The following is an 11,324-nucleotide window of genomic DNA, read 5'->3' as shown; positions in this document are numbered from 1 at the left end:
GAAGGCTGGAGCAGCTAAGTTGCCCAAACAGCAAAGATGGTGGCCTACCCCTTCTCTCAGGAGCTCTGTCTCAGGGAGGCTCAACAGTGTTGCTGGTGGCTGGCTGGAATTCCAAGCCAGTGGCTCTTATCCTGTGAGGTGCTGTGGAAGTGGGGCCTGCAGGCTGTTGCTGCTCAGCTCCCTGAATTCAGCCTCTTCCCTAGGGATATGTATGAGGGTCTCACCTCCCACTTTGCCACAGTTGCAGCTACTTTTGCAGGAAAGCCCAGGTACCTAAGGCTCCCAGGTCTCCATGTGTGCCTGAGTGGCTGCTGTGCCAAGATTCCACGTAGCTCTGTCAGACTGAAGGCCCTGGTAAAGTGGGTTCATGAGAACTCCCGACCCAAGGATTGCAAAGATCCATGGAAAAAGCATGGGTTTCCAGGGTCACACATTCACTCACTGCTTCCCTGGGTGAGAGAGCTCCCCCTGGCTCTGTGGTACTCCCAGGTGGGCTGTCGTTTTGCCTTTCTTTTCTTCATTCTCCCTGGGTCAAGTTGTTTCCTTGGTTAGTCCCAATGTGAGTACCTGGATGTTTCAGTTGAAGGTGCAGTATTGACTCTCCCCTTGTGTTCCTCTCTGTGAGAGCCAAACACACTAGCTGCTTCAACTCGGCCACCTTGGCCAGCCCACTGCCCCCTCACTGCTATATTTTTACATATAACATTTACAACTCTATAAAGTACTTCATTGTACTCATTTTACAGGCGAAGATAGTTTAGACACACAAAGACTGAATAAGATCTAAGTCCTTTCCTTGTAAGATGCAAAATCTGGAATTGACAATGTACATAACTGCTACGTGTCTCAAACCTAAGATGTAATTAGGCATTTCTAAAGCTCACACTTTTTAAATGTTTAAATATTTTGTTAGAGTTTTAAAGAATGATTTAGTTAAAAAATACGATTATGGGGGTGTGTGGCCAAGATGACTGACTAGAAGAAGCTAGGGTGCACGGCTCTCATGGAGAGGAATGAAAAGGGCAAGTCAATACAGCACCTTCAACTGAAACAACCAGGTACTCGCATTACTCACATAATCAAGGAAACAACTCCAGCCAGCCACCAGCAACAGTGTTTTACCTACCTGAGACTGACTTCCTAGGGGACAGGGCAGGCCACCATCTTTGTTGTTTGGGTAACTTAGCCATTCCAGCCTGTTGGGCTTTTGAGAACCCAAACCAACTGAGGGCAGAAGGGATCCCCCACGCAGCACAGCTGCTCTACCAAAATGTGGCCAGACTGCCTCTTTAAGTGGATCCCCAATCCATTCCTCCTCGCTGGGCGGGACCTCCCAACTGGGGCCTGCAGCTACTCCTGCAGGTGCTCTCAGGCTGACGGAGATTTGAATTCTCCCTGGGATGAGTTCCCTGGGGGAGAAGGGGGCCGCCATCTTTGCTGTTTGGGTGACTCAGTTATTCCAGTCTGTGGGCTTTGGAGAGTCCAAAGTGACTAGGGTGGAGGGGATCCCCAGAACAGCACAACTGCTCTATCAAATCATGGCAAGATTCTTTAAGTAGATCCCCGATCCGTTCCTCACTGGGTGAGACCTCCCAAGTGGGGCTTCCACCCCTTAGTTCTAGAGCTGACAGAGATTTACATTCTCCCTTGGATAGAGTTGTCAAGGTCCTGCCAATTAAGAAGAAATGGGTCAGGAACCTGCTAAAAGAATCTGCCTGACCAAGATTTTGTAGAGTAGCTGTGTTGTGCTGGGAGATCCCTTCTGCCCCGGTAGGTATGGATTCCACAAAACCCTCAGGCTGGAGTGGCTAAGTTGCACAAACAGCAAAGATGGCAGCTCATCTTTGGCCATTTCATCCCAAGAATTCAAATATCTTTGGGCCCGAGAACACCAGCAGGAGTGACTGGAGGTCCCAGTGCGGTGATCCCTCACCAGGCAGGACTTTGAGACCGCCATGCCAGGGATAATTGAAATCTCTGGCAGCCTGAGGACACTGGAGGAGGGGGTGGGGTGGTGGCTGGGGGCCCGAGTTGAAAGGAACTTCACTGGGCAGGAACTGGAGACCTCCATGCCAGGGAGAACTCGAATCTCTGTCAGCATGAGAACACAGGTAGGGGTGGCCGGAGGGCCCAGTTAGGAGAACCCTCACTGGGTGGGACCTCAAGAACTCCATGCTAGGGAAAATTCAAATCTCTGTCAGCCCCAGGACACTGGCGGGGGTGGCTGGAGGCCCCATATGGGAGGTCCCTCACTGGGTCAGACACCGAGACCTCCGTGCCAGAGAGAATTCACATCTCTGTCAGCCCCAGAACACTACCGGGGTGGTTGCAGGCCCTAGTTGGGAGGTCCTCACTGGGCGGGACCCCGAGACCTCCATGCCAGGGAGAATTCAAATCTCTGTCAGCCCCAGAACACTGGCAGGGGTGGCCAGAGACCCCAGTTGGGAGGTCGCTCACTGGGCCAGACCCCGAGACCTCCATGCCAGGGAGAATTCAAATCTCTGTCAGTCCCAGAATAAAGGCGGGGGTGGCCGGAGGCCCCGGTTGGGAGGTCCCTCACTGGGCGATACCCCAAGACCTCCATGCCAGGGAGAACTCAAATCTCTGTCAGCCTGGGAACACCAGTGGGGGTGGCTGGACACCGCAGCTAAAAGGACCCTCATTGGGTGGGACCTTGTGAATTACATGCCAGGGAGAATTCAAATCTCTCTCAGCATGAGAACACCAGTGGGGTTGGCTGGAGGCCCCGCTTGGGAGGTCCCTCACTGGGCAGGACCTCAAGACCTCCACACTAGGGAGAATTCAAATCTCTGTCAGCCCCAGAACACTGGCGGGGGTGGCTGCAGGCCCCCGTTGGGAGGTCCCTCACTGGGCAGGACCCCGATACCTCGATGCCAGGGAGAATTGAAATCTCTGTCAGCCCCAGAATATTGGCGGGGGTGGGGGGAGTTGGCTGGAGGCCTGAGTTGGAAGGACCCTCACTGGGCAGGAACCGGAGACCTCCATGCCAGGAAGAATTCAAATCTCTTTCAGCATGAGAACACAGGTGTGGGTGGCCAGAGGTCTCAGTTAGGAGAACCCTAACTGGGTGGGACCTCAAAAACTCCATGCCTGGGAGAATTGAAATCTCTGTCAGCCCCAGAACACCAGCGAGGGTGGCTGCAGGCCCCGGTTGGGGGGGTTCCTCACTGGGCAAGACCCCGAGACCTCCATGCCAGGGAGAACTCAAATCACTGTCAGCCTGAGAACACCAGTGGGATTGGCTGGAGACCCCAGCTAAAAGGACACTCATTGGGCGGGACCTTGAGAACTACGTGCCAGGGAGAATTCAGATCTCTGTCAGCCCGAGAACACCGGTGGGGGTGGCTGGAGGCCACGGTTGAGAGGTCCCTCACTGGGCAGGACCTCAAGACCTCCATGCCAGGGAGAATTCAAATTTCTGTCAGCCCCAAAACACTGGCAGGGGTGGCTGGAGGCCGAAGTCCTTCACTGGGCCAGACGCTGAGACCTCCATACCAGGGAGAATTCAAATCTCTGTCATCCCAAGAACACCGGTGGGGGTGGCTGGAGACCCAATTGGGAGGTCACTCACTTGGCAGGACCTGAAGACCTCCATGCCAGGGAGAATTCAAATCTCTGTCAGCCCCAGAACACTGGCGGGGTTAGCTGGAGGCCCCAGTTGGGAGGTCCCTCACTGGGCCAGACCCTGAGACCTCCATTCCAGGGAGAATTCAAACCTCTGTCAGCCCCAGAACACTGGCGAGGGTGGCTGGAAGCCACGGTAGGGAGGTCCCTCACTAAGCAGGACCTAAAGACCTCCATGCCAGGGAGAATTCAAATCTCTGTCAGCCCCAGAACACTGGTGGGGTTAGCTGGAGGCCCCAGTTGGGAGGTCCCTCACTGGGCCAGACCCTGAGACCTCCATTCCAGGGAGAATTCAAATCTCTGTCAGCCCCAGAACACTGGCAGGGGTGGCTGCAGGCCCCAGTTGGGAGGTCCCTCACTGGGCGGGACCCCAAGGCCGCCATGCCAGGGAGAACTCCAACCTCTGTCAGCCCCAGAACACCAGTGGGGTTGGCTGGAGACCCCAGCTAAAAGGACCCTCATTGGGTAGGACCTCAAGAACTAAGTGCCAGGGAGAATTCGAATCTCTGTCAGCCTGAGAACACCAGGGGTGGGTGGCTGGAGGCCTGAATTGAAAAGACCCACAGCGGACAGGAAGTGGAGACCTCCATGTCAGGAAGAGTTCAAATCTCTGTCAGCATGAGAACACAGGTGAGGGTGGCCGGAGGCCCCAGTTAGGAGAACCCTTACTGGGCGGGACTTCAAGAACCAAGAACTGCATACCTGGGAGAATTCAAATCTCTGTCAGCCCCAGAACACTGGCGGGGGTGGCTGGAGGCCCCAGTTGGGAGATCCCTCACTGGGCAGGACCTAAAGACCTCCATGCCAGGGAGAACTCAAATCACTGTCAGCCTGAGAACACCGGTGGGATTGGCTGGAGACCCCAGCTAAAAGGACCCTCATTGGGCGGGACTTTGAGAACTAGGTGCCAGGGAGAATTCAGATATCTGTCAGCCCAAGAACACCGGTGGGGGTGGCTGGAGGCCACGGTTGAGAGGTCCCTCACTGGGCAGGACCTCAAGACCTCCATGCCAGGGAGAATTCAAATCTCTGTCAGCCCCAAAACACTGGCAGGGGTGGCTGGATGCCGAGGTCCTTCACTGGGCCAGACCCTGAGACATCCATACCAGGGAGAATTCAAATCTCTGTCAGCCCAAGAACACCGGCGGGGGTGGCTGGAGGCCCGATTGGGAGGTCACTCACTTGGCAGGACTTAAAGACCTCCATGCCAGGGAGAATTCGAATCTCTGTCAGTCCCAGAACACTGACAGGGGTGGTTGCAGGCCCCAGTTGGGAGGTCCCTCACTGGGTGGGACCTGGAGACCTCCATTCCAGGGAGAATTCAAATCTCTGTCAGCCCCAGAACACTGGTGGGGGTGGCTGGAGGCCCCAGTTGGGAGGCCCCTCACTGGGCCACACCCCAAGACCTCCATGCCAGAGAGAATTCAAATCTCTGTCAGCCCCAGAACACCGGAGGGGGTGGCTGGAGGCCCCAGTTGGGAGGTCCCTCACTGGGCAAGATCCTGAGACCTCCATGCCAGGGAGAACTCAAATCTCTGTCAGCCTGAGAACACCGGAGGGGGTGGCTGGGGACCCCAGGTAAAAGGACCCTCATTGGGCAGGACCTTGAGAACTACGTGCCAGGGAGAATTCAGATCTCTGTCAGCCCTGGAACACCAGCGAGGTGCTCTACCAAAATGTGGCCATACTGGGTCTTTAAGAAGGTCTGTGATCCATTCCTCCTCACTGGGCGGGACCTCCCAACCAGGGCCTCCAGCCACCCCCACCAGTGTTCTCGGGCTGGCAGAGATTTGAATTCTCCCTGGCATGGAGGTCTGGAGGTCCTGCCCAGTGAGGCACCTCCCAACCGGGGCCTCCAGCCACCCCCACCAGTGTTCTGGGGCTGACAGAGATTTGAATTCTCCCTGGCATGGAGTTCTGGAGGTCCTGCCCAGTGAGGCACCTCCCAACCGGGGCCTCCAGCCACCCCCGCCAGCGTTCTGGGGCTGACAGAGATTTGAATTCTCCCCAGCATGGAGGTCTCGAGGTCCCGCCCAGTGAGGGACCTCCCAACAGGGGCCTCCAGCCACCCCCGCTGGTGTTCTCAGGCTGACAGAGATTTGAATTCTCTTTGGGATGGAGGTCTTGAGGTTCCATTCAGCGAGGGACCTCCCAATAGGGGCCTTGAGACACTCCCGCCAGTGTTCTGGGGCTGACAGAGATTTGAATTCTCTCTGGCATGGAGGTCTTGGGGTCTGGCGCAGTGAGGGACCTCCCAACTAGGGCCTCCAGCCACCCCTGCCAGTGTTCTGTGGCTGACAGAGGTTTGAATTCCCCCTGGTATGGAGGTCTTGAGGTCCTGCTTAGTGAGGGACCTCCCTACCGTGGCTTCCAGCCACCCTCGCCAGTGTTCTGGGGCTGACAGATATTTGAATTATCTTTGGGATGCGGTTCTTGGGGTCCCTTCCAGTGAGGGACCTCCCAACCGGGGCCTCCAGCCACCCCCACCAGTGTTCTGGGGCTGACAGAGATTTGAATTCTCTCTGGCATGGAGGTCTCGGGGTCTGGCCCAGTGGGGGACCTCCCAACTGGGGCCTCCAGCCACCCCCACCAGTGTTCTGGGGCTGACAGAGATTTGAGTTCTCCCTGGCATGGAGGCCTGGAGGTCCAGCCCAATGAGGGTCCTTTCAGCTGGGGCCTCCAGCCACCCACACCGGTGTTCTCAGGCTGACAGAGATTTGAATTCCTGGAATGAGTTCCCACGCGCAAGAGCAAGGAGCCATCTTTGCTGTTTGTGCAACTTAGTCGTTACAGCCCGCGGGCTCTGGAGAATCCATACCTACCGGGGCAGAAGGGATATATCATCAGCACAGCACAGCTACTCTACAAAATCTTAGAAGGCAGATTCTTTTACCAGGTTCCTGATCCATTCCTCCTTACTGGGCAGGACCTCGACAACTCCTTCCCGGGGAGAATGTAAATCTCTGTCAGCTCGAGAACACCGGTGGGGTGGTGGAGGCCCCAGGTGGGAGGTCCCACCCAGAGAGGAGGAAAGAATCAGGGATCTGTGTAAAGAATCTGCCTGGCCACTATTTGGTAGAGCAGTTGTGATGTGCTGGGGGATCCCTTCCACCCCCAGTCATTTGGGACTCTCCAAAGCTGGCCCCATCCTCTCCCCCAGGCCCCAGTTGGAAGGACTCCCACTGGGCAGGAACTCCAGAACTCCCTCCCAGGGAGAATTCAAATTCCTCTCAGCCCCAGACACCAGTGGGGTAGCTGGAGGCCCTGGTTGGGAGGAACAGATTGGGAATCCCCTTAAAGATTCTGTCTGGGGCCGGCCACGGTGGCTCATGCCTGTAATCCCCATACTTCGGGAGGCCCAGCAGGGTGGATCACTTGAGGTCAGGAGTTCCAGACCAGCCTGGCCAACATGGTGAAACCCCATCTCTACTAAAAATAAAAAAATTCGCTGTGCGTGGTGATGGGCACCTGTAGTCCTAGCTACTTGGGAGGCTGAGGCAGAAGAACTGCTTGAACCAGGGCTGTGATGGGTGCTGTAAGCCGAGATCATGCCACTGCACTCCAGCCTGGGTGACAGAGCAAGACTCCTTCTCAAAAAAAAAAAAAAAAAAAAAAAAAAAAAAAAAAAAAAAGGATCTGGGCACATGTTGGGAGAGCAGCTGTGCTATTCTAGGGATCCCTTCTACCCCACCAGTTTGCACTGTCCAAAGCCCACAGGCTGGAATGGCTGTGTCACCCAAACAGCAAAGATGGCGGCCAGCTCCTCCCCTGGGAAACTCATCCCAGGGAGCTCCAGCATCCTTGGCACAAGCTGGCAAGTATTGGCTGAAATGACAGGTGCCCTGGAGAAATTTGAAAGGGTTATCCACATCCGGCTGCTGATTATTTTCACAATTTTCCTGAGATGTCGTTATCATTCTTTGACTCTCCTTTCTATAGTCAGACATTTGGCTCTCAGAGGTGACTTTCTGGCTGAAGAATGTGGATTCGTCACTGTCTTGTGCTCAATGTAGAGGGGGCTCTTAATTCCAGAAATGTCCATATCTGATGAAAGAAAGCGAAGAATGAAACAAAAAGAGATATGTACCGTATTCATAAGTAGATTCAATGCTCTTAATTCCAGAAATGTCCATATCTGATGAAAGAAAGCGAAGAATGAAACAAAAAGAGATATGTACCGTATTCATAAGTAGATTCAATGCTATTAAGATGTCAGTTCTTTCCAATGTATAGATTCAATGCAATTCTACTCTAAATGAAAATGTTTATATGGAGAGGCAAAAGACCTTGAATAGCTAACACCATATTGAAGGAGAAGAACAAACTTGGAGGACAGACACTACTCAATTTCAAGACTTACCCTAAAGCTACAGTAATGGAGACAGTGTGGTATTAGTGAAAGAACAAACGGATAAAATGAGATAGAGAGTTCACAAATAGAAACACATTAATACATTCGATTAATTTTTGACAAAAAAGTAAAGGCATTATGATGATGAAACAGTTTTTTCAGGAAGGGCTGCTGGAATACCTGGATATCCACATGCAAAAAAAAAATAAATTGCAGACCTTACACCCCCACCAAAATTAACTCAAAATGGATCAGCAACATAAATATACAAAAAACTATAAAATTTATAGAAGATAATATAGAAGGAAATACAGATTATCTTGGGTTTAATGATGACCTTTAGAAAAAACACCAAAGTTGAAGTCAATAGAAGAAAGAATTGACAAGCTGGACTTGATGAAAATGTAACATTTTTACACCATTAAAGACACTGAAAGAAAAGAGAAACCACAGATGGAAAAAAATTTGCCAAAACGTATCTGATTAAGAACTATTATTCAAAACATATTAGTATTCTTAAAGCTGAGCAGTAAAAGACATGAGCTAAAGACCTTAACAAGTACCTCACCAAGTAAATTATACAAATGGAAAATAAGCATATGTAATGAGGCTACACATAATATTTCCTCAGAGAAATGCAACCATGAGATGCCACTGCACACGTATTAGAATAACCAAAATCTAGAACCACTGACAACATCAAACGCTGGCAAGGATGTGGAGCAAGAGGAAACTTCATTCATTGCTTGTGGGAATGCAAAATGGTGCAGTCACTTCTTGAAAGTTGTATTCTATGTACCTCAACAGCATGGCCTTCACTGTTCATATTCCTATTATCATTTTGGTCAACCACTTAACCAAGGTCTAATTAAGTTCCACAAGTTTCCTCATCTTCCTGACTTCTTTGCCTATTACCCAGTTCCAAAGCAAATTCTGCATTATCAGGTATTTTTATAGCAAAACCCCACTCCTTGGTACTAATTTCTGTGTTAGCAACACAGAATAACACAGAAAAGAGCAACACGGAAAAACACAAATTTTTGTGTTGCTATAAAAAATTAGCTGAGACTAGGTAATTTATAAGGAACAGAGGTTTGTTTGGCTCACAGTTTTGCAGGCTGTAGAAGAAGAATGGCAGTGGCATCTGCACAGCTTCTGGTCAGGGACCCAGAAGGCTTTTACTTGTGGCTAAAGGTGAAGAGACAACGGGTATGACACACATGGCTAGAGAGGTAGAAGAGACGGGAGAGGTGCCACACTGTTTTAAACAACCACCTTTCGTGTAATGCAGTGAGAACTCACTCATTAGTGAAAAAAGGGCAAGAAGCTATCCAGGAGAGATCAACCACCATGACCCAAACACCTCCCACTAGGTCCCACCTCCAACATTGGGGATCAAATCTTGACACAATATTTGGAGGGTACAAATTTGCAAACAATATCACTCTCTTTTTGTCTTTAACTTTGGACAATTTGATTATAGTGTATCTTGTTGTGAGTCCCTGGATTCACCTTATTTGGTTTCCTTTGGGCTTTCTGGATCAGGCTTTCTGTTTTCTTCCCCATGCTTGATAAATTCTCTGTCATTATTCCTTTAAACACTTTTCCGTTCCTTTCTTCCTCACTTCTCCTTCAGGCATGCCAATAATGTGTGAGTGGTCCTGCTTGATGGTGTCCCATAACTCTCTAAAGTTGTCTTCACTCCGTTTGCATTATCTTTTTTTCTGATCCTCAGGTTAGATAATTTCCAGTGACCAGTCTCAAAGTTCACTGATAGATTCTATTAATGGACACCTCTATTAAATTTTTTCAGTTCAGTTACAGTACACTTTAGATCTATGATTTGTTTGACATTATTGTATAACGTTTTTCCTTTTCTTGAAGTTCTCAACTTGTTCTTGCAAAGCTATCTTGACCTCAGTGATTATTGTTATGACCATTATTTGGAAATCTCTGTCAGATAAATTACATATCTGCACTTCACTCAGGTGCTGGAGATTTATCTTGTTTTCTTGCTTTGAATATATTTCCCTGTTTCTTCATTTTTCCTCGACTCTCTCTGTTGGTTCCCGTGCATTTGATAAGACTGGCCTCATGTAGGAAAAGGATCTCACCAAACTTTCCAGCCAGAGATCTTCAGGTACCTCTCAAGTCCTTGTGTGCTCTAGTATTGACTGTTTTTGGTGGCTCCCTGGAACTTAGGATGTGCCACGCCTTGTCAGTAACCAGAAATTGGTTAAGGTAGGAGCCAGACAATCCAGATGTAGCTAGAAAGTTAGAAGGCTGGAGGAGTGTTTCAGTTCTTTCTAGCTACATGATGAAGATTAGTATGGACATTTATCTCCCACTCTCTCTCCATTAAGCTTGGTAGAGGATCTGTGACAAACACCTATGCACACTCTGGATGCAGCCTCTGATCCTGAGGAGATAGCTTCTGAATGTGGGCCCATTGTATGCTTACTTCTTTGTTTTCTATGGTCTAAATACATTCAAAAATACAAAATCCTGTCGACTCACAGAGCAGAGTTCTTAAGAAAACAGTTCCTTGGGCACTAACCACGGAGGTTGTGGAATTTCAATGCATAATCAAGCTCCTTCTGGGAGCTTGATTCAATGCATAATCAAGCTCCTTCCGGGAAGAATGGGTAGGCTTGGATTTATTACTGGGTTGAACCCGACATAAGACTGGTAGTGTCAAACTATGGTTCCATCTGCCAGATGAATTGTACTTTGTAAGCCACATTAGCCCCCATGATGCCAGTATTTAAATACAAAGCTAGAAATGATTAATAGGGTGAGAAAAGCATGTTGAAAGCTCAGATAGGCTGAAAGCTAGGCAACTTACATCAAACAGTAAACTAAGCTGTGAATGCAAAAAAAAAAAAGTTCTTAAAGGAAATTAAACAGACTACTCCAGTGAATGCACAAATGATAAGTACAATGGTATTATTGCTGATGTGAAGACAGTTTTAGTGGTCTGGATAGAAAATCAAATGAGCCACAACATTTCGCTAAGCCAAAGCTGAATCCAGAGCTAAGCCCTAACATTCTTTAATTCTATGAAGTCTGACACAGGTGAGGAGGCTGCAGAAGACAAGTTTAAAGCTAGCAGAGGTTGGTTCATGAGGTTTAAGAAAAGAATCTTCATAACATAAAAGTGCAAGGTAAAGCAGCCAGTGCTGATAGAGAAGCTGCAGCAAGTTATCCAGAAGATCTAGCTAAGATCATTGATGAGGGCAGTTATGCTAAATAACAGATTTTCAATGTAGACAAAACAGCATTATACTGGAAGAAGAGGATACCTAAAACTTTCACAGCTATAGAGGAG

The 11,324-nt window shown here is 49.8% G+C and overlaps 1 protein-coding gene across 44 annotated transcripts in view; it reads right to left on the bottom strand.

Annotated features, from left to right (window-relative positions):
• Window positions 1-7,496: 7,496 nt before the first annotated feature.
• ANKRD36 (ankyrin repeat domain 36) overlaps window positions 7,497-11,324 on the bottom strand; it is a 151,369-nt gene continuing 147,541 nt past the window's right edge. For 43 of the 44 annotated variants that reach the window (NM_001354587.1, XM_017004010.2, XM_017004023.2 and 40 more), the window contains one exon: window positions 7,497-7,689. The gene's annotated coding sequence lies outside the window, so the exon portion shown is untranslated. Of the gene's footprint in view, window positions 7,781-11,324 lie in introns of all 44 variants that reach the window. The other variant, XM_017004009.2, reaches the window with a different exon arrangement.

Source organism: Homo sapiens, chromosome 2 (assembly GCF_000001405.40).
Source record: "Homo sapiens chromosome 2, GRCh38.p14 Primary Assembly".
In the NCBI taxonomy this organism is placed as follows: domain Eukaryota; kingdom Metazoa; phylum Chordata; class Mammalia; order Primates; family Hominidae; genus Homo; species Homo sapiens.
This window is presented reverse-complemented; position numbering and strand designations above follow the sequence as displayed.